The sequence below is a fragment of the Homo sapiens genome, chromosome X (genome assembly GCF_000001405.40).
Source record: "Homo sapiens chromosome X, GRCh38.p14 Primary Assembly".
NCBI classification, from domain to species: domain Eukaryota; kingdom Metazoa; phylum Chordata; class Mammalia; order Primates; family Hominidae; genus Homo; species Homo sapiens.
Window position 1 is genome coordinate 131587437 of NC_000023.11, and position 26690 is coordinate 131614126.

The following is a 26690-nucleotide window of genomic DNA, read 5'->3' on the forward strand; positions in this document are numbered from 1 at the left end:
AACAATAAAAATGAACAATTCCATACTCTTAGCACTTCAAGTTCAGTATCAAATGTATGAAAGACCAACTCACTGTATCTGTTTCTCTTCTTCTTTCTTCAGATGCAGATCTCAGATATATTTTCAACTACGAATAGAATGTGAGTTCTTCATGGAACACTTCGACTTTGCTCTCCAACTTATCCAGGCCATATTCCCAATGGCAAGAATTATAAATGCATTTCAACCACCGCATTGGGTTTATAACATTTGAAGGAAAGGCCAAATAGGGAACTGTCAAGCTTTTGCTGGAGAACCAAAACAGTAAGACAGGCACAAGATATTGTACCCCAGTGCTTAGCCTGTCGTGTTGTAACATAACTAAAAGCTATTTTTCACTCGCTTTGCTTTAATTACCAAGGGTTTTGGTGTTCTAAATTGCTACTGTCCAAGCATCCCCTGATATAGCTGTAGTCCAAGAAGTTGAAGGGGTCCTAAGGGAATTAAGGGAATACAGCTGCAGCCCCCAACAAATACCTCAAATCCTAAAATATGCAAACTCTACAGAATGATTGATGGTATATTCTCAGTATTACTTCAAACTTCATAAAGTGCTTGCAAACACAATTATCACTTCAGCTACATCCTCCCTGCTTGTGAACTTGCTGAAAAAATCTGCTTCTTAATAATAGCAGCTACCATTTGTTAAACACTTTAATCAAGCACTGCTGTGTGTTGTTTTGTTTGATCCTCCCACAATAACCTTATTACATAAGCATTACTACAATCATATCCACTGCCAGATGAAAAAACTGAGATACAGAGAAGTTAGAAGTCACACAATTAGCAAGTGTCAGAGCTGAGATTTCAACTGATTGCCTGACAGCGGCACTCTCACTCAAACAGTAAGCTATGCTGCTTTCTTGCTAAATCTTTATCATGCCCATAGCTTGGGTTTGCCTACAAAAAAAAGTTTGAGCCATGAATACAGCCCTTGACATTTTATTGACCATGACAGAGGAAAAAAGGTGGCACATGATCACACTTACGAAATTGTTTCAAGGAAAGAAAAAGTAGAGAATCACAAGGACAATCTAGTTATGAAAATATTTACCTGAATAGTCTCTGTAATCATTGTAGAGCAGGCAAGAGAAATAATAAGTTATTGCCCAGGGACTCCATCCCCTGAGCATTCAAAAAGACAAGAACTCCTTCACAATTGAATTTATAGCCATTAAATGTTTTCATTGCAATGTTTGCTTTCTTATTCAAGTGACTGACTCCAGTTGGAAATATTTGGGGACCTCAAGATAAAGCCTTGATGGGAATGTGGCATGCCTTACAAAGTGTTACAAAAAGCAGGTCCAGGATATGAGACTTTATTTCTTCTTAGGCAATACACTGAGGTACCTCTGGGTCCAGCTCTTAAAAGCTAATGCTTCCGTTCTCAAGTAGGCAGTGGAGCCACTGTTTTCTCAGAATAAGAAGATACTTCTTTCAGTTTGTGTGACATTTGTGAAGAAGAATTTTTCAAGTTTTCCTGAACACTTTTCCATATTTGTTGCAATAATAGAAGACTATTCAAATTAACCTCATCCATTCAGGTATTTAACATCAATATATTCACATTCAGAGATAAAAGGAACTTTTCTATCTGGAGAGCTTCTTATTAACTGTTCTTATCTGGTCAAATTTCACTAGTCAGACCACAGGAAGTTGTAGATCCTAGCACTGCCCGGATATTGGACTTTCTCCCACATCTCTGCCTGGGAACTGCCAGCTGAGTTATTGCTGTCGGAGAAGTATGCAGTGTGTCTGGGCTTTGGGGTTATCTGATCAGCAGAGGCATCGGTGAGTAAAGTTTATTTTTTCCCCTAGCCAAAGAATTATAAACTCTGAGTATTAGGCCCGGAATAACCTAAAAGGTCATCTTGTCCAACTTCTAGTCAATGTCTGCATCACTTGAACAGCACATTTAGGCTCCTGGAATAATAATAGAGTAGAAATAAACTTGAGTGCTTACTGTATACCAGAGATGATGCTTTATACATAAACTCATTTAATATTCATAATATCAATCTGAATCAGAAATTATTTTGTAGATAAGAAAACTAAAGCTCTGAAATGTTAGACGTTTTGACCAAGTCCACATGGAAGTGGCAGGGCCAAGATTCAAACCCAGGTCTGTCTGCAGAGCCCACACTTTTAAACACCACATTGTTCTTCATAACTCAAATATCTGGGAAAACTCTGTCTAATATTCCATCGTGTTGTTTCTAAAAGTTGACTCATACTTGTCAGAATACTCATATCAGTGTCAGATTCAGAAAATTTAGTTACCATGCTTCTTCCTTCTTATTTAACCCCTTCCTCTCCCACCAATAGCAACAAATCTACTTTTATTTTTAATATTAGCCCTGTATTCCATGGTGAGAAAAAAAACTGTTGGTTAGCAGAAACATAAACCTGGTCATCAAATCATGAAATTCAAAGACAAAATAAAAGCCTTTCTTGAAAGAAAACAGGAAATTAAGAACTAAAGATAAACCTGCAATAACCATTAATAAGTAAGCAGCAGCTGGGCATGGTGACGTGCATTTATAATATCAGCTACTTGAGAGGCTGAGGTGGGAAGATCTCTTGAGCCCAGGAGCTCCAGGCTGCAGTGAGCTCTGATTGTGCCACTGTACTCCTGCCTGGGCAACAGAGTGACACCCTGTCTCTAAAAATAAATAACTAACTAAATAAAATAAGCTAGCCCCAAAAGTTCCACTGAGTTCCAATTTAAATAGACTAAAGATCCCCTGGTCAAAATGCATCTCTATTGTTCACTGGGTTCCATAACAGAGAGTGACAAGAATTATTTGTCTGGCTTGTTTAAAGTTATTTGTCTTCAGGCCGGGGGCGGTGGCTCACGCCTGTAATCCCAGCACTTTGGGAGGCCGAGGCGGGCGGATCACGAGGTCAGAAGATCGAGACCATCCTGGCGAGCACTGTGAAATCCCGTCTCTACTAAAAATACAAAAAAAATTAGCCGGGAGTAGTGGCGGGCACCTGTAGTCCCAGCTACTCGGGAGGCTGAGGCAGGAGAATGGTATGAACCCGGGGGGCGGAGCTTGCAGTGAGCGGAGATGGCGCCACTGCACTCCAGCCTGGGTGACAGAGCGAGACTCCATCCCAAAAAAAAAAAAGTTATTTGTCTTCAGAGCTCATGTCCCCTTCTGCTTGTTAGATGGTGGCCTCTTCTAGGGCAGGAAGTATGTCTTTATCTCTGTTTCCTTTCAAGTATCTATACATTTCTCTTTCCAACATTTATTGTGCACCCTTACTGTTCTTAATACTGTACTGAGTACTGGATACACATGAAAAAACACAGTCTCTGACTCAGTCTGGTGGCAAAACAGATCTCTAAACCAATAGCTGCAATTTAATAAAGAGTGTTCTAATATCCAATAAAAGTACGCTCAGAGTGTTGTAAGAACATAGCAGATAGCACAATGTCATGTCATGCACATTGCAGGTGCTTAATATCCATTTGTCCAATTTAATTTACTCAAAGAGAAGAAGAGCTTAGCTCAATAGAAGGGAACTATGACCTACGTGATAGATCAAGGCCACGACAAGTATCTAAAACCAACTCTCTCTCAGTTCAAGTTCCTTTATGTCTCACACTTAATTCCCCAAATTAAGACCAGCATACACAGAGTGTTCCAGCTATTAAAATGCAGAACCCAATTTTCTATCCTTAAATGTTTTTACTCCAGGATTTCACTCTGCAAGTGTAATATTGTATTATCATATGTCCCAGAAATAAGTTGTAAGTGGGTTGGAACTGACAACAGTGATAGAAGTGATGGAACCCAAACTTTCCTGTTAATACCGGTTAAAGTTTCAGAGTTAGAGAGGGTGTGGGCAGGGGATGTTTACCATGGGTAGATGAAAACTGACAAGATAGAAGATATATGCAGTTAAGAGCCTCTGAAAACAGGGAATAGACAGTTGTGTAATGCTGGCTGGCTGGAAATAGAAAGTAAATAACTGGTGTTGCCAGCACAAGTAAACAGCAAACAGGAATAAGTCATCAGTGAGCATTTGATGAAAACCAGTTATGGAAGTAGATTAGGGGTTATTTTGAATAGTTATTAGGAAAAATGTCTGGGTGAGGTACCAATGGGAAAAGAAAAGATCTGGAATCACTGCAGGAAAAAAGAACTGGACACGCATGTGATCTTTTTATCTCCGCTCTCTGCCTCCCTCTGTACCCGCTCTGTGCTCATGTTTCTTTCCTTTATTGCCCTGATCCTTCTCTTTGCGTCATAATTTCCATCAAACAAGTATTTATTAGTGCCTCCTATGAACGGAACATTGTGCCATATAAGGAGATAAATGATACAGGGTTCCTGCCCTCAAAGAACTAACAGTCTAGAGAGGCAGATAAATATGTACTTTTTATATGGAATTAACTACAATTTAATGATGAAAGTGGCATGTGCTCTAACAGAGGGGAAAAGAAAAACAAAATACTGTGAAAGAACATTGGTGAAAGATATTAATTCTGACTCGGGAGAAGGGCATCTTGAGGAGATTAAGCAAAGACAAAGAATGGCTAGAATTTTAATAGAATAAAGGTAGGTAGTCATTCTTGTCAGAGGGATTTGAGAAAAGTCATAAAACGTGGCATGTTTGAGGAATGGTGGGAATGGAATATGTAGGGAGAACAATGCATCCTAGCTTGCCAGGGATTTCCCAGGTTTTAGCACTGAAAGTGCTGTATCCTGGAAAACTTCTTAGTCCTGTGCAAACAGGGATGATTGGTCACCCTAAATATGCATGGGACATTGGGCATATGCATCATAGGGAGTAAAAAAAATGAAGGGAAAACCAAGGATCAGTGAAGACAACCCATAGGAAATTAGGTTGAAGACAGGACATGAAGAGTACCAAATGTCAGGCTAAGAAGTCATGACTTGTTTTTACAGGCAGTTGACAATGAAACAGAGGTTTTGGATAGGGGAGTAGTATAATGAAAACATAAGATTACTCTGGCAAAAATGTCCAGGGCAGATGAAAGGGGTAAAAAACTAGTTTGGAGCCTATTTTGAAAATCCTTGCAAAAGACACACAGAAGACTTTGACAAGGAAATCTACAATGGGAATGGAGCAGAGGAGCCATAGCGAAGAGACAGTGCAGTGGCAAAAATCACTGAACCTTACTGACTAATATGGGAAATTGTAGAAAGGAGGGATGATGACAATGTTTTCCAACCTGGTTTATTGGGAAAATTGAGGTGCCATTAGCAGGAATAGGGAAGTAGCAATGATAGTTTTAAATGGAATGGTGACAAGTTTATTTTAATTTAGTTTCCAACAATCTGGGGTTGGGAAGCCAAATAAACACGTGATTCATGAGCTAAAGAAGATGTCTGACCTCTAGTTATAAGCTTTGGGAGACATGAGTATAAGAATTAGACTCAGATATAAGTTTAATTATATATGAGAGGTCAGATATGACCATCTATGGAAAGAGTAAAGTTACAGAAATTAGTAAGAAATACATGGTGGTCATTAGAGCCTGTTACAGGTACTCCAGTTCTCACCTCCTTCCAGGTACATAACAACATTGCCATGTGATTGCTTTTGCCAACTAAATGTCAGTAAAAGTGACTTATTCACATCCAGGCAAAAGCTTGAAGAAGCCATACAGAATTCACTGTGCTTCTTTTATCCTGCTTCAGCAATCATTAAAGCAGGTGTCAAGAAGAATCCCCTATTCAGTCTGGGTCCTTGGGTCACTTCAATGAGCGGAGACAAATGTCATTACTATGTAGCATGAGCAAGAATTAAACCTTTGTTGTTTCAAGCCCCTCAAAGTTTAGGGGCTGTTTGTTGCTATAGAGTAAGCTAGCTTATCTTGAATGCCACTGAAAACTTAGAAATACATACATTTAGAAGTTAGAAGAAAGAGGGAACTGACAAGTGACTCTTTCATGGGGATGGCGTAGAAGAGCCATACTGAAGAGAGAGTGCAGTAGCAAAAGTCACTGAACCTTGGTGATTTTACAGTAAAGTATACAATTTACAGTAAAAGAATAAGCAGAGGTGAGAAGTACATAAAGCGAAAATGAATCTTAGAAGACAAAAGAAGAAAAATATTCAAGAAGTGAAGGTAGTAAGTAGTGTTAGATGAAATGAATCAAAGACTGAAAAAGAACATTGGATTTGGTCATTAGTAGTACATTGGGTTACTTTCTAATAAGTTCAGTTGTGTGACAGAAACAAGCAAGGGATTGAGAAGTTAACAGGGAGTGTGTAAATGGAGTTAATTAATGAGGGTAATCATTTTTAGAAATTTGGTAAAGAGAGAAAATTCCTTAAGCAATGTCCTACCTTCCGTTGGATAAGCATGGTTTTTTCTCTCTCTTTCCATCTCTTTGCTTACTCTGCTTCCTCCATATTATCCTGGTTCTCTTCTTCTAGATCTGCCTCTTCTCTGTCCTGCCTTCTCTATGCCCCTGTGTCTCTTTGCCTCTTTTTCCCTATGATGGCATGATAACTCTTACAGCTGAACAGAGTGGGCCTAGTTCAGCCTGTGGTCCAATACAGGAGACCCCTCTATTTTACTGCTGATCAGACTGAAATTAAATGTTGTATCACTGAAGGAGTTAGCTCACTAATTCATGGAACTGCCTATCCCGTAATTGTCAGATAAATCTAGCTATCTAGACAGAAAACTTGTCTCCTACTCAGCTGAACTCTGCCTCCCTTTAACTTTTTCTCAGTCCTAATTCTACGCTCCCTATACCACACCAGAAATGTTACTCTCTTTTGTACCTTGTACTTGATATTCATGCTCTCTTTTCTCTTTGCCCATTCCTTATCCTCACCTTTCCATTGTCTCAGAGATGACCCTCAACTATAAAGAAAATATTAATTTTCTTATTAATAGCCTCAGTTTCATCAAGTGGTTGAATAAATGGGCCTTCTAAAAATATACATAATTTAGATATAGATATATAGATATACTTTTATGAAGAACACTAAATTTGTAACATTGCAAACAACTTACGTTAAAGTGTATTTTCAACTATTCTGTGTATGTGTGTGTGTGTGTGCAGTGAGTCATATAAAGAAGTGCTAGCCTTCTTGTTTTGAAAAAAGAAGAATTTTTAAGTTTACAAGGAAAGAGTTAGATTGAGTATTTTAAAATCATCATATTCTTTTCTTCACAAACAAAACAATTAAGTTTTTAACTTTTTTTTACTTATATATGTCCACTGACTTATATGTGGGAGTTGGGTCAGTTATGCTCAGTAGTAAAAAGCTTCTTATACCTAATTTAGATAACTTCTAGAATGATAAATCCATATGGCTCAATTAAGAAAATAAAGGAGCTTGGCGGACATCACTCAGCCATGCACCCTCTTAAACTTTCCTTTGTATTTCTGTCCAACACTGAATCCTTAGCTTGAATAGGCTATTGCAATGCTCTTATGAGGGCTTATTGTCAAGAATACAGAGATGGTGGGAAATCAGTTCCAATGCTTAAAAACACTGTTTATAAAGCACTTCTCTGACTGAATGTTTTTCCCAGCTTTGGAGAGTAAGGAAAGGTGTAAAAATGCAACTACTGAATTCCTAGGCTCCCTTACACCTTAAAGAGAGGCAACAAGCTTGACTTCGGTGAAATCTTAGTTGTATTCCTTCTTCCAGAAACAACAGTCTTGTGTTTGCATATCTTTATAATTTTCACAGCATTTCCCCGACCATTATCTTGTTGGAATTTCACAATTCTATGAAGTAAGAAAGGCACGTAGTTTTCCTTATTCTATAGATTACGAAACTGCTGCTCCCTTGGGCCACATAGCAAGCAAATGGTTAATCCAAAACTAAAATGTCCTTACTCATTACTCATTCCTATGATTCACACTGGTTCTTTGAATAATAATTCAGTTACATGGTAGTATAGTTATGCTTGGCAAGGATTGCATGTGATTCCACAAAAAGCAAGACCCTTAGATGGCACAGAGCTGCCCTTGGCACATCCCTGACTCCTCTTCCTGGTCACATCCCTTTCTAAGTTCCTTGAGTTTTATGACTAGATCTTTGGTTTCTGCTGTATCTCTTACCTTCTTGTGCCAAAGAAACTGTTCTCTAAAAACAGCAGATGCTCAAGACCTGAAGTACAACTGGAAGCAAAATAATTTTGATTTTGTTACCTAGGCAAAGACAAGGGAAATGTTCTGTTTAGAATTTGAGTTACTTGCCCTTGTATCTAACAGCTTATAACATCATTCTGGGCCAAGTAAATGCCTTGGCAGGTGTGGAAATTTCTTTGAAGAGCTCTACCTCACCTGAATCTCTTATTATCGATATGGAATCAGGTATAGTCACGCAAACAAATCTCGATTTTAAAATGCCCCTTTTAATACAAAGAGTCTGTAGGAGGGTATGGTCCTACCTTTTCAAGTATGACTATTATGAGTAAGAGGAGGAGCTAAAAACAAGGTCTCTTTGACAATAAAGTTTTCCCTAACCACAACTATGAGAAGATTCAAAGGAATACAGTTAGACTAGCATAAAACATGTCTTCCTTTCCTGCCCTGGTGAAGTTCCCCCTTATCATTCAGCCCTGAACTTTCTCCAGTCCCATCTTAGGATTACATCACATTTGTCATACCTTTCCTTTTATCTTTATAGAAAGGATGATGATTTCCTCAGATGAAGAAAATGATACAAATATGATGGAATTTATTCTGGTAGGACTGTCCAGACAGCCTGCATCTCAGCTACTCTTCTTTTAGGCAATATTGTTCATCTACTCTGTCACCCTGGTTGGTAATATTCTCATCATTGTTATTATCCAGATTGATTCCCATCTTCAAACCCCCATGTACTTCTTTCTCATACAAGTATCCTTCTTAGATATCTGCTCCACACCCACGGTTCTGGTGAACTGCTAGAAGGACTTTCCAAGTGTATCCTATAGTGGCTGCTTATTCTAAATGACTATCTTTCTTTACTTAGGGGTGACGGAGTGTGTTTTTTTTTTGTTCTGTTTTGTTTTGTTTTTTGAGTCGGAATCTCACTCTGTCACTTAGGCTGGAGTGCAATGGCACAATCTTGGCTCCCTGCAACCTCCACCTCCTGGGTTCAAACAGTTCGCCTGCCTCAGCCTCCCGAGTAGCTGGGATTACAGGTGCCCGCCACCATGACCAGCTAATTTTTGTATTTTTAGTAGAGACGGGGTTTCACCATATTGGTCAGGCTGGTCTTGAACTCCTGACCTCATGATCCGCCTGCCTTAGCCTCCCAAAGTGTTGGGATTACAGGTGTGAGCCACCATGCCCAGCCGAGTGTTTTCTTATTGCTGTTATGGCCTATGACAGGTTTGTTGCCATCTCAAAACCCTTGTGTTACCCATTCATTATCAATAGCAATGTTTGCATCTGGATGGTGGCAGGAGTTTGGGCCCATCCTGGTCGCACCAATCCAATTCTGTGGCCACAATGTAGTCAACATTTTACATGTGAGCTCCAAGTAATTTTCAAACTCACTTGCTCTCCTGTACTAGTCAAAGAGATCCAGTGATTCATGATTCCAGGTTGTACATTATAGGCATTGTATCAGCATTAAGTGTGCTCCTACAGTTAAGCTCGCCAGCAAACCCATCCCAGGAGCTGAGAGGCATACAATTAGGGCATAAGGTGAGGTATTATCGGGGTACACTTACACAAAGTATGTTGAAACTCACACAGCCAATTGCCATAATGACCATTGAATTAGCACATAGGTAAAGCTGAGATGTGCAAACAGATACCTAATACATTTCCAGCACCTGAAGATGGTCTTTTGTCCTTGTGCCAGATCCACCCAAATGTCTAGGTATTCTAAGTCTTTTCCTTTTATTGCTTCTATCTGACATCTTTAATGAGCCCATGTCAAGACATATCAAATATCTATATGTCATGGGGATGGCTGGTTACAAATGAAAAAACATATGGAAAAATATTTCAACAGAGGGGAAAAGCAGTATGAAAAAAAGCAAGTTGGAAACAGAAACTCAGGCCCTACATACTGAGGTAGAACCACCTTTTTGGATGGTATCACGTTTTTATCAAGGAGGTACCTGGCAGCCAGAAATAAATAGCCCATTTTATAAGCCTGAATGACTTCCAGGATGTGGAGAACTGTAGAAAAGAGTTTTGCAAAGACAACTATATAAGCTGGTGCTGGTAAAATTTTTACTAGTTCATGTTGAAATGAAAAGAAATGAAGGTAAAGTAATGAACTGTTCATAGTTTAATTCAATCACAAAGAGTATTCTAAGGTAATTCAATGAAACACTATTTGCAGTATCAAAAGGTTGGAAATAATGGAAATGCCTATTAATAAGTGACTGTTTAAATAAATTTGATATATCCGTACAACAAACTACTATACAGCTGTAAAAAGATTTAAAAAGCTCTTCATGCACTGACATGAAACGCTTTTCAAGATAACCTTTTTGGAAAAAATGTGAACGGAATGCTACACACATACATACACTCCTCCACACAGACAGACTTATTTACTTATTTATACATAGAATATCTTTGGAAGAATGCCCAAGGAACAAATAACAGTGGCTGCCTGCAGAAAGGGAAACTGGGTGTTGAAGGGGCAGGGTAAGAGGGAGCCTTTTAATTGTCAATTCTTTTTTGTTTTTATTGATACATAATATTCGTAGATATTTATGGAGTACATGTGATATTTTGGACATGCATAGAATGTGTAATGGTCAAGTCAAGGTATTTAGGATATCCATCACCTTGAATATTTATCATTACTATGTGTTGGGAATATTTCAAGTCCTCTCTTCTAACTATTCTTTATGGTTTTGTACATTTTGAATTTTGATTAGGAATTGTTCTTTCCTTCTAATTTGTTGCCTAATTTTTGCCTTAAAATAGTATTTTAAAAGAAATAATAGGGTTAATACATTGTAGATATTTTGTTATTTCATTTTTAATTCTGTATATATTTACATAGCAAAATGAAAAGTTGGTGTATTAGTCTACTCTCATGTTGCTAATAAAGATATACCCAAGACTGGGTAATTTATAAAGGAAAGAGGTTTAATTGATTCAAAATTCCATATGGCTGGGGAGACCTCACAATCATGGTGAAAGACAAAGGAGGAGCAAAGGCATGTCTTACATGGTGGCAGGCAAAGAGACCATGTGCAGGGGAACTCCCCTTCATAAAACCACTAGATCTCATGAGACTTATTCACAATCATGAGAACAGCATGGGAGAAACCCACCCCCATGATTCAATTGCCTCCCACTGGGTCCCTCCCACAACACATGGAAATTATGGGAGCTACAATTCAAGATGAAATTTGGGTGGGAACACAGCCAAACTATGTCAGCTGACAAACTCACTTAAAAAAATAGGTACACATACGTAAAATCCAAAATGTTGGAACCACTGCTTTAAGGTCCCTTCTCTGGAATTCAACAACCAGTCTGTCTCATTGCTGTTCCCCTCTGACCTTGTGTCCCAGTCCTGAACCAGTGTCTCTGCCTTAGACACCTGCTTAGTATCCCACTCCCTCAAGGAATCAGACCTCACTATGCTATTGTCACTCAATGTCCTTCACCATCACCACCACCCATGGATTAGCATCCTATCCCTGAAATGGGAAAATGTGATGGGGGCCCTTCTACCAGCTGCTGGACCTCCCTGCTGGACACAACTTGATTCATTTGCTGGAGTGGAATGCTAAGAAGAGATTGCATCCCTGCCAAATTCATGTTAAAGCCCAAATCTCCAGTGGGATGGTATTTGGAGGTGGAGGCTTGGAAGGTAATTAGGTTTAGATGAGGTCATGTGGGTGAGGGCTCCCTTATGGGATTAATGACCTTATACAAAGAGAAAGAGACATAAGATTTCCCTCTGTATGTGTGCATCCACCAAGGAAGGCCAAGTGAAGACACAACCAGGAATAAGGCCTTCACCAGCATGCAATCATACTGGCACTTATATCTTGAACTTCCAGCTTCCAGCACAGCAGGAATTAAATTTCTGTCTTTTAAGACAATCATTCTAGGATATTTTTTATAACACCCTGAGTTAAGATAGTTTACTTTCTTTTTATGCTTAAGGAAGTAGGATTTTCTTTTTTTGTATGTCTTTTCCCACCCAGGTTTATTGAGGTATAATTGACAAATAAAAATATATATATTAGGGTGTACAAAGTGATGTTTTGATATATGTGTATACTGTGAAATGGTTACCACATCAAGCTAATTAACATATCCATCACCTTATATGGCTACTTTTTTTGTGGTGAGAGCACTTGAGATCTACTCCCGTGGCAAACTTTAAGTATACAATACAGTGTTATTGACTATAGTTACCATGATGTACATTAGATCCCCCAAAATTACTCATTTCACAACTGAAGATTTATACCCTTTGACCAACAACGCCCCTCTTACCCACCCCTTAGCTCCTGGTAACCACCATTCTACTCTCCATTTCTATCACTTCAACTATTTTCAAGATGGCGCATATAAGTGAGATCATGCAGTATTTGCCTTTCTGTGTCTGGCTTAGTTCACTTAGCATAATATCCTTCAAGCTCATCTATATTGTCACAAATGGCAAGATTTCCTCCTTTTTGAAGGCTGAATAATACTCCATTGTGTAAAGATATATATATACATGTATGTATATATATACACACATATGTATAGATACATATCTGTGTGTGTATGTGTATACATATATATATATATATAGTGTGTATATATACATATACACACAAACACCACATTTTCTTTTTCCATTCGTCTCTTGATGGACACTTAGGTTGTTTCTATATATTGATTACTGTGAATAGGGCTGCAATATGCTTGGGAATGCAGATAATTCTTCAGATAATGATTTTATTTCCTTTGGATATATACTAAGTAGTGGAATTGCTGGATAATATAGTAGTTCTATTTTGAATTTTTAAAGGAATCTCCATACTATTTTCCATAATGGCTGTGCCACTTTACAGTCTCACTAACTTTGTACAAGTGTTTCCTTTTCTCCATATCCTTGCCAATACTTGCTATCTTTTGGCTTTTTGGTAATAGCTATCCTAGCAGGTGTCAGGTGATATCTCATTGTGATTTTGAATTGTATTTCTTTGATAATTAGTAATCTTGAGCACCTTTTCATATACCTCTTGTCCATTTGTATATCTTCTTTGGAAAACTTTCTACTCAGATCTTTTGTCCATTTTTAAATTGGGTTGTTTCCTTGCTATTGAGTTGTATGAGTTCCTTATATAGTTTGAATATTAACCCCTTTCAGATATATGTCTTACTAATATTTTCTTCCATTCTGTAGCATGCCTCTTCATTTTGTTAATCAACAAAATTTTTTCTTTTACAACTTTTGTTTTGGATTTGGGAGTACATGTGCAGATTCGTTATAAAGGTATATTGCATGATGCTGAGGTTTGGGGTTTGACTGAACCCATCACCCAGATAGTGAGCATAGTACCCAATAGGTACTTTTTTCAGCCCTTGCCCGCATTCTTCTCTCCCACCTCTAATAGCCCCCAGTGTCTAATGTTCCCATCTTTATGTCCATGTGTATCCAATGTTTAGTTCCCACTTACAAGTGAGAACATGCAGTATCTGGTTTTTTGTTTCTGTGTCAATTCACTTAAGATAATGGCCTCCAGCTGCATCTATATTGCTGCAAAGAGCATGATTTCATGTTTTTTTATGGCTGCATAGTATTCCATTGTGTTTTTCTTTATCCAGCCTACCATTGATGAATACCTGGGTTGATTCTTTGTCTTTGCTATTGTGAATAGTGCTGCGAGAAGCATACAGGTACATATGTCCTTTTGATAGAACAATTTATTGTCCTTTGGGTATGTATTAGTCTGTTTTCACACTGCTATAAGGAACTACCTGAGACTGGGTAATTTATAAAGAAAAGAGTTGTAATTGACTCACAGTTCTGCATAGCTAGGGAAGCCTCAGGAAACTTACAATCATGGTGGAAGGTAAAGGAGAAGCAAGCACCTTCTTCACAAGATGGCAGAATAGAGATAGTGTGCAGGGGAAGCTGCCACTTATAAACCATCAGATCTCATGAGAACTCCCTCACTATCATAAGAACACATGGAGACTGCCTCCATGATCCAATCACCTCCCACTAAGTCCCTTCCTTGACATGTGGGGATTTCAATTCGAGATAAGATTTGGATGGGGTCACAGGACCAAACCTTATCAAGGTATATACCCAGTACCATTACTGGGTACTCGTGCTGGGATTGCTTGGTCAAATGATAGTTCACCACTTAGTTCTTTGATAAATGATATTTCACCACTTAGTTCTTTGATAAATCACCAAACTGCTGTCCATAGTGGCTGAACTAATTTATATTCCCACTAACAGTGTATAAGTGTCCCCTTTTCTCCAAAGCCTCGCCAGCATCTGTTATTTTTTTTGCTTTTAAATAGTAACCATTCTAACTGGTGTGAGTTGCTATCTCACTGTGGTTTTGATGTGAATTTCTCTGATGATCAGTGATGATGAGCATTTTTTCATACATTTGATAGCGACTTATATTTCTTCTTTTGAGAAGTACCTATTCACATCCTTTACACACTTTTTAATGGGGTTATTTGTTTTTTGTTCATTGATTTAGGTTTCCTATAGATTCTGGATATTAGACCTTTGTCAGATACCTAATTTGTAAATATTTTCTTTTATTCTATATGTTGTCTGTTTATTCCTTTGATAGTTTTTCTTGCTGTACACAAACTCTTTAGTTTAATTAGGTCCCACTTATCAATTTTTGTTTTTGTTCCAGTTGCAATTGCTTTTAAGGACTTAGTCATAAATTATTTCCTAAGGCTGATGTCCAGAATGTTATTTCCCAGATTTTTTTCTAGGATTCTTATAGTTTGAGGTTTACATTTAAGTTATCAATCCATCTCAAGTTAATTTTTGCTTGTGGTACTAGATAGGGGCCCAGGTTCATTCTTCTGCATATGGATAACCAGTTATCCCAGCACCATTTATTGAATAGGGAATCATTGCCCCATTGCTTATTTTTGTCAGGTTTGTCAAAGTTCAGGTGGTTGTGGATGTATGGCTTTATTTCTGGGTTCTCTATTCTGTTCCATTGGTCTATGTGTCAGTTTTTCCCCCAGCACCATTCTGTTTTGGTTACTATAGCCTTGTCATACAGTTTGAAGTTGGGAAATAGCTATTTGGGGACTTTTGGGGTTACATAAATTTTAGCACTTTTTTTTTTTTTTTTTTTTTTTTGGAGATGGAGTCTCGCTCTGTCGCCCAGGCTAGAGTGCAGTGGCATGATCTCGGCTCACTGCAAACTCCACTTCCTGGGTTCAAGTGATTCACCTGTCTAAGCCTCCTGAGTAACTGGGATTATAGGCGCCCGCCACTGCGCCTGGCTAATTTTTGTATTTTTAGTAGAGATGGGGTTTCACCATGTTGGCCAGGCTGATCTCGAATTCCTGACTTCATGATCCACCCACCTCGACCTCCCAAAGTGCTGGGATTACAGGCGTGAGCCACCATGCCTGGCCAGCATTTTTATATCTCTATGAAAAATTCTATTGGAATCTTGATAAGAATATTAATTTTTCAATCTATGAACACAGAATAGCTTTCCATTTATTTTGGGTCTCCTACAATTTCTTTAATCTATTTTTTTTTTTAGTTTTCATCTTCACCTCCATGGTTACATTTATTCCTAAGTATTTTATTGTTCTTGATGCTATTGTAAGTGGGATCATTTTTGGATAGTTTGTTGTTAGTGTATAGAAACACAGTTGATTGTTGCATGTTAACAAAATTCAATATCCTTTCATGATAAAAAAAATAATAAAACTCTTAACAAAGTGAGTATAAAAGGAATGTACCTAAACATAATAAGAGCCATCTATGGCAAGCCTGCAGCTAACATACTGAATGGTGAAAAGCTAAAAGCTTTTCTTCTAAGAACAGAAGCAAAACAAGGATGCCCATTCTTACCCCATCTATTAAACATAGAACTGGAAGTCCTAGACAGATCAACTTGGCAAAATAAAAGGAATAAAAGCCATCCAAACCAGAAATGAAGAAGTAAAATTGGCACCGTAGCCAGGGTGACAGAGAGAGACCCTGTCTCTAAAAATATTTTTAAATAAATAAATAAAAATAAAAATAAAGTTGTACAAGCATCTCTATCATTTTAAAAAAGGGAGTGAAACTGTCTATGTTTGCAAATAACATAATCTTATATATTGAAAACTCTAAAGATTCCACCCCAAAATTAATAAATTCAGTAAAGTTATGGAATACAAAATTAACATTCTTTCTTCCAGCTTTATTTATTTATTTATTTATTTTTTGAGACGGAGTCTCGCTCTGTTGCCCAGACTGGAGTGCAGTGGAGCGATCTTGGCTCACTGCAAGCTCCACCTCCCGGGTTCACGCCATTCTCCTGCCTCAGCCTCCCGAGTAGCTGGGACTACAGGTGCCCGCCACCATGCCAGGCTAATTTTTTGTATTTTTAGTAGAGACGAGGTTTCACCGTGTTAGCCAAGAAGGTCTCAATCTCCTGACCTCGTGTCTGCCCGCCTAGGTCTCCCAAAGTGCTGGGATTACAGGCGTGAGCCACCATGCCCGGCCTCTTCCAGCTTTATTGAAATATAATTGGTAAACAAAAACTGCACATAATGAGTGTATACAACTGACTGAGTTAATATCTATATATATGTATATAGATATATATACACATAAACATATACATATACATATATTCATGTTATCATCACTACAATCAAGGCAATAAACATATCTTTACCTCCAAAAGTTTCCTTCTGTTCCCTTTTTGTTGTTACTTGCTTGTTTTTGTTAAGAACATTTCACATGAGATCTCCCCTATTCACAAAATATCAAGTGCACAATACCTTATTGTTAATTATAGGCACTATATTATACAGCAGATCTCTGGAACTTATTCTGTATAACTGAAACTTTACGCCCATGAAAAAATAGCTCTCAGGCTGGACACGGTGGCTTACAACTGCAATCTCAGTGCTTTGGGAGGCTGAGGAGAGAGAATCACTTGAGGTCAGGGTTCAAGACCAGCCTGGCCAACATGGCAAAACCCCGTCTCTATTAAAATACAAAAATTAGCCAGGCATGGTGGCACATGACTGTAATCCCAGCTACTTAGGAGGCTGAGGCATGAGAATCACTTGAACCTGGGAGGTAGACGTTGCAGTGAGCTGAGATCGTGCCACTGCACTCCAGCCTGGGCAAGAGAGCAAGACCTTGTCTCAAAAAAACAAAAACAAACAAACAAAAAAACAGAAACTTCCCTCTGTTCCCTCTCCCCCTTGCCTGGTAACCACCATTCTATTGTCTACTTTTACCTGTTTGACTATTTTAGATGCCTTATATAAGAGAAATCTTGCAGTATTTGTCCTTCTGTGACTGACTCGCTTCACTTAGCATCATGTCTTCCAGGTTCATATATGTTGTTTGAAATGGTAGAATTTCCTTCATTTTTAAGGCTAAATAGTGTTCCACTGTGTGTGTATATATATATATATATATATACACACACACACACATACACATATATATACACACACAATATGTATACACACATATATAACTTTTTTTGTCTGTAGTATATATAAAGAAAATGCAATAAAATATTATACTACATATAAAGAAAATATGATACTTTATTACATTTTCTTTTTTAAAATAATTTTACTTTAAGTTCTGGGATATATGTGCTGAACGTGCAGGTTTGTAACATAGGTATACATGGTTATACATGCCACGGTAGTTTGCTGCACCTATGAACCCGTCATCTAGGTTTTAGGCCCCACATGCATTAGGTATTTGTCCTAATCCTCTCCCTCCCCTTTCCCCCTATTCCCTGACAGGCCCTGGGGTGTGATGTTCCCCTCCCTGTGTCCATGTGTTCTCATTGTTCGCCAATATTCTACATTTTCTTTATCTATTTATCTGTTGATGGACATTTGGGCTGTTTCCATATCTCGGCTGTTGTGAATAATACTGCAATAGATATGAGAATGTAGATATCTCTTTGCAATCCTGTTATCAGTTCTTTTAAATATATACCCAGAAGTGGAATTCCTGGATCATAAATACAGTAGTTCTATTTTTAATTTCTTGAGGAACTTCTATACTGCTTTCCATAATAGCTGCACCATTTTACATTCCTACCAACAGTGTGCAAGGGTTCACTTTTATTCATATCCTCACCAACACTTACTATCTTTTGTTTTCCTTTCTAATAGCCATTCTAACAGATGTGAGATGATATTGTGATGTTGATTTGCTTTTTCCTGATGATTAGCAATGTTAAGCATCTTTTCATATACTGTCAGTCAGGTACTGGCACAAAAATAGGCATATAGACCAATGAAACAGAATGGAGAGCCTGGAAATAAATACACACATATAAGGACAACTAATCTTTGAAAAGAGTACTAAGTATATGCAATAGGGAAAATTTGTGTCTTTTCAAAAAATGGTGTTGGGAAAAGTGGCTATCCCATTCAAAAAATAAAATTGGTCTCTTATCTTATACCATACACAAAAATTAGCTCAAAATGGATTAAGGACTTAAGTGTAAGATATTTTAACTCTAAAATAGTTAGAAGAAAACATAGGGAAAACGCTTCTTGACGTTGGTCTTGTCTATAGTTTCTTAGATATGACACCAAAAGCAGAGACAACAAAGGCAAAAATAGACAAGTGGAACTACATCAAACTAAAAAGCTTCTTTACTGGGAAGAAACGAAAGGCAACAGAATGAACAGAATGAAAGGCAACCTACGGTATGGAAGAAGTATTTACAAACCATATATCTGATAAGGGTTTAATTTCCAAAATATATAAGGAACTTCTACAACGCAATAGCTAAAAAAACAAAATAACTGGATTTTTTAAATGTCTGAGAGATTTGAACAGACGTTTCTCCAAAGAGAGTTTACTTTCTAAAGTTTACTCATTCCTGCATTTTTCTTTACTTTTCTGTAAGTGCCTGTGAAGCTTTCCTTGCCAACTCATACTTATTTGGTCCCTCTGATGTCCAGGGTTTGCATTAGAAAACCTCCCTTAAAATATCATGTTCTGCTTGCCAGATTGGAAGTCAGCCCAAGGATCTTCAAGACGATTCTTCTTTTCAGCTCTTCTTTACACCAAATGGCCCATATTGAGATTATGTCCTGTGGCAGAGATTGCTTGTTATCTACCCCATTATCCATTTTCTCGATCTTCTTTGGTAACAAATCACTGAATTTTATTCAGGTGGTAACATATCTAGCTAAAAGAATACAATTTTCAGCCTCTCTTGAGGCTAGGTGTGTTCAGTGACTAAATTAGTATTAAAATATAAGTCAAAATATTATGAGAAATTTCTAGAATGTCTTAAATAGAAGCAAATCAGTCCCCCCACCACCACCCCTTATTTTCCCCTTTCTCTATCCTGATGCCTAGAATGCAAATGCAAAAAGGACATGTATCTATCTGAAATGTTCATAGAAAACATATCTGGAACTCTACCATCCTTCTTGTTCTATGAGAATAAGGGCAGAATAGTTAACTGGAAATAATGTGAGTCTGTGAATATCAGAGAATTATCATAGCTGTTCTACACTTCTCATCTTCAGTTAAGTGATGTACAAAAATCATCCATCTTGTTTAAGCCACAATTATACTAGGTTTTCTGTCCCTTACAGCTGAACTTGATTCTAACTGATATATCTTACCTGTTATGTTTCCATGTCCCATTGAAGGTGACTAAGCCATGCCCCACAGTGTTTCAACACCCGACATATCTGAGTAATAACACCTCCCTACATATGTAAGGGACATCAGTATGAATAGAATTTTAAACCCTGCTCCTACTGTTGATTCTTTTGCTGCCTACATACCAATTTATTGTTATTATTTTGTATACTTGGTGATGATTGCTTTACAGTTGATTTAATTCTCACTCCAAACCATGAGGGGAGAGGAAGTCCCATGGCATGAGTGAGACATGCTGCTCTAAGACAATCAAAAGAGAAGACGTTGGACATGCCGAGTTCAAACTCATGAAACTGTCAAATCTTATTTAGAGTAATGACAACCAAAGTTCTATCTACAGCTCAGACATCTCTTCTCAGTTCCAATTACATGTGTTTGTGTAAAAAGTACATGTATCTATCTGAAATGTTCATAGAAAACATAGATTGAGATATTCTGAAACAGAAAGCTTCATCTTCATCCTAAAATCTCCTCTTCCTCCTGTTTATTGCATCAAATGGAGCCACCATCCACCTTGAAGACATCCCCTAATCCTCTTGTTCCCTTACTGCAACTTCCAATCATCCTCCAGGCTTTGCCTATCCTATTTCTGTGATAAATCTCATCCATCCCTAGACTCTCATCCCACTGCCTCTCCCTTAACTCTGGCCCTCATCATTTCTTGCTCTGACCACTGCAGTGACTTGAGATCTGGTATCCTTAGCAACACAGTCTAACACAGGCTTCACATTACGGTGCCACCCACTTTTATGAGACATGTCAGAGCATGTCACTCCCTTGTTTAAAAGTTCTTCATGATGTCCAGTCATGAAGGCAAAAAGTTCAACTCTTCAATGTGACATTTAAGACCTTCCAAGATCTGGACCCAGCCTATATGGCTTTTCTGACTCTTGCTGATTCAGCAATACAAACTTATTAACATTCCCATTAACATCTCCTTCATTTCCAATTCTGAGCACAGGATTGATGTGGTGTCTGTAAAATGCATGTGGTTCTCAACTAGTTAATCCAACCCAGGAAACCCAGCAAGAATGTTTCTAATATGAGCCTCCTTCGACCATCTTTTATCTCTGGGCCTAAAGAGTAAGTCCCTCCTTTATCAATGTCCCCCTGCACAAGTTTATATGTGCCTCCTTTGTACATCCCTTATACTTTGTACATGGCTGTACAATGTAATATTTCATGCAGCTAAACATCTTGGAAAGCAAGTGAGAGCGGCATCCATCTGGAACAGCACTAGGGTATATCCATGCTGCTGTGTGAATTTCTCCACATGTTTGCATAGATGTAGCGCCTTCAGAAGTCAACAGACCTGCTACCATCAAAAAGAATTCAACCTTTATGCTCATGCTCTTTTCATTCTACTAACTTCAGGGATGTTCTACATCCCCAAAACCCCAGCAGCCCCTTTGCCTCCTCTTCATGCCTGGTATCACCCAAGCTTTGTGCCTAGACTTTCTAGCAGGACCCAGGCTGTTCTTTCTGGACGTCCCTCTAAACCAGTGACTTTGTCTCTGAAGATATAAAATGAGTTTGAGCAGCCAGGCCCCTCAACATAACTGACCATTCCCAACTACTGAGGACACCCTGTCCACCTTTGCTTGGCCTGAATACTCTCATGTAGCTAGAACCTACTCATTGTAGCTAAATTCAAGATATCAGAGGAAATATTATCTGGAATTTCTTGTCTTCGTTTTTTTTTTTCTTTTAGAAAATATAATATCTCTGTCTGGTAGCCCTGCTTCCCTCAAAGCTTACAGTGAACTGAAATAAATGCAGGGAAGTGGTCCTATATTCTGTACACTTAAGAAATGGGAAATTCAATATTTGTTTACAATAACGGCAAAGTTAAAATAGCTCATGCTACATTGCCAAATGAAGAATAGCAGAGACATAAACACTGTCCTTAAAAAGATTTTTTTAGAAGAAAAGTATGAATCGAATCATTTACTGAAGTACTGTTTGAACAGATGGTGTGATTAACAGCTAACATGTAAGCCATCTTGGGAGTTTATGGAAAAGTAAACACGTGCAGCTAAAAAGAAATCACTTTATTCCCCAAAAGGTTCTTTCATTCATTTTACTAAGTAAATTGGAAAGCCTGGGTTTTGAAGGCTGCATTTCCTTGGGGGATGTTAGGAAGGAGCAGAGGAGAGTCTCTTCAGAGCAAGACCATGTCGATGCAGGGTCGAGCTCCAAACTCGCCTCCTGAGGGATGAAATGATCTGAGGACCTGGCCCCTCCCGTCAGCTGGCCCTTGACAACAACTGAAGATGCTCTGTTCAGCTTGCTCATCTCCAGTGGCTTCACGTGCCTGAGAGGAGGGGAAAGGAGTTAAGGTTTGGGAATCAGTTCCTGGCCCTCTGCTGGGCACTTTGCATGGACTGTTTCCTCTAACGCTAACATCCCTGGGGGTCACGTGTTATAAGGCCAACTTACCCAATAGGGAAAATGGGGTTTAAAAAGGAGGAAGTGGCCTGCCAAGGCTGTATAGATACTTCCTTCATGGAGCTGCCATTGAAACCCTGGCCTGTTGAGTGGGTTGTCAAGGAGAGTGTGGAACAGGATATCAGGGGACATGGGTATGAAAGTCTGCTCTGCTAGCGTGTGCTTTGGGGAAAACTGCTGTTCCCTTATGCGCCACAGCTTCTACATCTGTAACATGTGGGTGCCATACCGGATGGCCTTAAAGGTCCTCATTTGGATACAGAAATGGCATCAGGATATTAAGTTGGCTTCCAGCCCCATTCCTGATCATCCTCAACTGACATTAGGAATACATCCTTGGACACTTCTGTAGCTGAAGCCATGGTGCCACCTACTTAGGCAAACCTCTGAAGGACTGGCTGATCCTTGGCAGAGCTTTCTTGCCACTGCCTACACCACAGCACACCCCAATTGGTAATGGCTCATCCCCAAATTGCCCTGGTGTTCATTTATTCACCTAATATTTATTGAGTGTGCACTAACACTCCAGGCAAGGAAGTGTGGAAACATTGTGAGCAAGAGGGATTTGGTGTCTCTCCTTCCAAAATTAGACCCAGTAAGGAGACACAGAAGTGAACAGATAATTGAAATATAGAGGGATAAATGTGAGTATAAGAAAAGGGAACTTGACCTCTACCTGTGGAATCAAGGTATGCTACCTTGTTGATGGTAGTGATGATGACACCAAACTAATTTTTTAGTGGATTTTTTCTTTTCCCCTTCTTTTTCTTAGATCTACCTCATTTGTCATATACCAAACTAAACAATTTTTATCAAACATCTAGATATTTAGAATGATCCAGTTGACCGTTATAGATTTGCTTGCCTTTCATTCTGATATTGGTACTACTTAGATGCCCATGTTGGTTTCCCAGGCCATTTAGAGTCAAAAGTTGCCAGGAAGGCAATGAAATCACTTATGTTTCCAAAGATAGAGTGGCTTAATTAAAGAGGAAAGCAAATTTTCATGTTAATAATCTAGAAATAAAGCCCTTCTCTTGGACACGTCCCTGTAAATGCTTCTGAGCTCTTTCATGTGAAGGGCCTTCTAATTGCTTCTCTGGGACTTAGTCCTGGAAGCTTTGAAAGGGTTTCCCATTGCAATATTAGAACCACTGATACTGTGTCCCCTAGCAGGTGTGATTCCACTTCCTTTTGTGTGCATGTGTGTGTGTTATTATTATTATTTCTTTTTTTTTACAAAATCAACTTTGAGAATATTCTCCCCATTTAGTAAAGGGAATGCACCTTTTGAGTTACATTTGAATTTCACTCCAGGTCTCTACTAAATGGAATGAAAAAGCCTACTGTGCATTCTGTGCTGATATGTGACAGTCTTCAGAGAAAGGACTCCTTTCTTAGATGGCATGACCCATTAAATATTGCTCCAGGTCAACAGAAGAAGGAAATTGCTGTCCCGCCTCAGGTACCCATCTGCTATAACCCTTGGCCCTTTGCACCTCACTTTATAGCCACTTGAATCTAAGTGTCATCCTCACCAGTCCTATCCTACTGTGTGTTCCTGCAGATAACAATAGTGTCTTGGGCTTCCTGAGATGCCACTTGCTAAAGGCCAATGCCTTATACTTGGTGCTCATTCCATATTTGGCCAATGTCAAAACTTTCAACATTGCTTTATTGAGCTCTCGATACTGTTTTATTGGCATGTAAAGCCTGTCATAATTCATCTTCGAAGGCAGTCATCTTCATTCCTTTCCACATGGCACCAATGTCATTTCATTAATTTACCAGGTGGTAAAAACATACTCAAAACCATTCATTCTGAGGATCTTTTAGATTTTTAAATCTTTATATTTGTTCACCTCCAATAATATGTCATGAAAGCTAATTTCTGGCCTTACAGACCGTATGCTACTCCTAGGGGAGAGAAAAATGGCAAAATAAGTCCTTCAATTCACCATGCTGGACTTTTCCTTGGACAATAATCTAATAAAAGAACAACAAATGTCAATAAAGGATTGTAATATTTTTTCTAAGTCTATAATTATTTACTTGCACAGTTGTTCTATTTCGTTTTCACTGAAAGCTTTATCTTAAATTGTTTATTTGTTAAAAAATAAAATATTGTTCATCATGAGTTTTGATAGTCTCTGTATATTGACCGTGGGAAACCAAACATACTTGAAATCATAGAGCTTAGAAGAGTCATTAAAGATTTTCTGTTGCCATGGAAAAACGCTTGAGTGGGAAAGCAGGTCACAGCATTCTCTATAAAGTGACATAATGACTGCAGAAATAAGCATAAGAATGGGAAAAGAACCCAAATATTGTTTATGGTCATGGCTAACGAGTGGCATTCTGTTTGGCTTCGCTTCCATTACTAACAGTTTCCCGTGGCTTCCACGTTTTACTTCTGATTGAAAAAAAAAACCATACATTTAAAATAGTAATTGTCTAGTAAGATTCATTTGCTTCATAGATAAGAAAACAAAAGTCCGGAGTGTGTGGGAAAACGAGGAGCGGAAATCTTGCCTCAGGACTCTAAGTCTAACTTGTACTTTGAATTCTGATTTGGGAGAGACATTGATTTATAATTTCATTTGTCAATTCATCCAAAAGTTTGGGTACAATAAGAATCCTATGCATTTTAAAACCTGGCACACATTCTAAAGTTAAGTGGGAAACTATGGTTGTACATGAACAAGGGATGTGTTGACTAAGTTTCTTCTTTCTTTGAGATGGAGTAGCCATTTGGACTCATCGTCTTGTGGCAATGCCCCTTGCCCTACTCCCTAGTGCCTCCTCTCAGTCATCTCCTCTTCCCAAGTGCACATTGCCAATAGTAGCTTCAGTCATCCAGAAATGCTCATAACCTCTGGTGCAAAAGGAAATTAGACTGCTCTGGCAAATGGCTGTCACTGTGTCTGAGTATGAGTTGTTTTCACTAAAGGAAACCTGAACTTTTTGGTGCTAATTCCTGCTAATTGCTGACACCTCATAATTAAATTGGCAGAAATTTCACTCCAGGGTCATGGCATATAAAAACTGGCAGGCTTCTTTAAAGATGACTTTCTCAAAGGACTCTGAGACTGGGGACTGTGGGATCAACAGAATGTTTCCAGGACTTCATTCTATGAAGAATTCAATGGGCACAGAGGGCCACAAGGGAATGCTGTTTAAGGTAGGGCATAAGACTTGTGGATACCTAAGGAACTAGGGTTCATAGCGGCCAGTAGGGCATGGGTGGTCTCCAATTATTATAATGCGAAATGCAAATACAAAGTGGTATTCAGGCTCGGGCATATGATTTCAAGAATAATCACCATCCCTTCTAGATCAGCATTTGACAAACTACAACATGAAGGCCAAATCCAGCCCCCCACTGCCTGTTTTTACAGATAAAGTTTTGTTAGAGTACAGCCATACCCATTCATTTTCATGATCTTTATGGCTGTTTTTGTACTACAAGAGCAGAGTTCAGTAGTTGTGACAAAAATCAATGGTCTGCAAGAGCAAAAATATTCCTGAATACGGAAAAACTTAGCTTACCCTGTCCTAGATCATAAAAGAGAAAAGTTAGAAGAAATAATCCTAAAAGGAAACAAGTATAAAAGAAGAATTAAAGAGACTCCCAATCTATAGTGTGGAAGCTTAGCAATGAAACAGCTTGAAATAGAGATGAACGGATGGGAGAAAACTGTATTCCTGGAATAAAATATGCATGTGTGTGGACAGTTCTTTAAGGGCGGTTATGAATCATCTAAAGCTGGTGTTGACAAACTACAGCCTCCTGGTCAAAACTGGCCCACCATGTGTTTTTATAAATGACATTTTATGGGAATACAATCACACCCATTTGTTTATGTATCTTCTATGGCTGTAGCGTTACTACAAAAACCTTTAATAACAGAATGAGACATTTAACTCTTATGGCCTCAAGTGCCCTCCTCTTTTGGTCTTCCCCAACTTGCAAGACCTCTGAATCAGCTTTGCAGGCTCCTTTTCTTTCTCTAAGATTTGCTTATTGTTCTCCACCCATTCTGGCCACATTTCCAGTCTTATTACCCATTATCTGCAAGAGCAAATGGGAGAAACTTTACCTGGAGGCAGTATTTTGGCCCATGATTACATGTCATATCCCAAATCATGGGTAAAACACAAACTTGGAATTTTAGGACTTGGTATCTGCTTAAATAAATTCCTCCTAACATATTGATTAATGGATCAATGTTATGTTGGAAGAATGTCTCCAGTGACATACCCAGGGCCCTGTTCTGTTTAACATTTTTATCAAATGACTTAGATAAAAAGCCAGAAGGCAAATTTATCAAATTTTTGTTAACACAAAGAAAGCAAGAAGCAATAAGTAAAGTTTGGGATACCAGAATTAACATTCAAAA

General features: G+C 38.5%; 1 long non-coding RNA gene and 1 pseudogene across 1 annotated transcript; both read left to right on the plus strand.

The window, feature by feature from the left end:
- The first annotated feature begins 102 nt into the window (after positions 1-102).
- LOC124905218 (uncharacterized) lies at positions 103-24427 on the plus strand. The gene is made up of 2 exons (XR_007068336.1): positions 103-1830; positions 23608-24427. It is a non-coding gene; the product is annotated as an uncharacterized LOC124905218 (long non-coding RNA).
- On the plus strand, positions 8686-9768 carry OR7L1P (olfactory receptor family 7 subfamily L member 1 pseudogene; annotated as a pseudogene).
- Positions 24428-26690: the final 2263 nt, after the last annotated feature.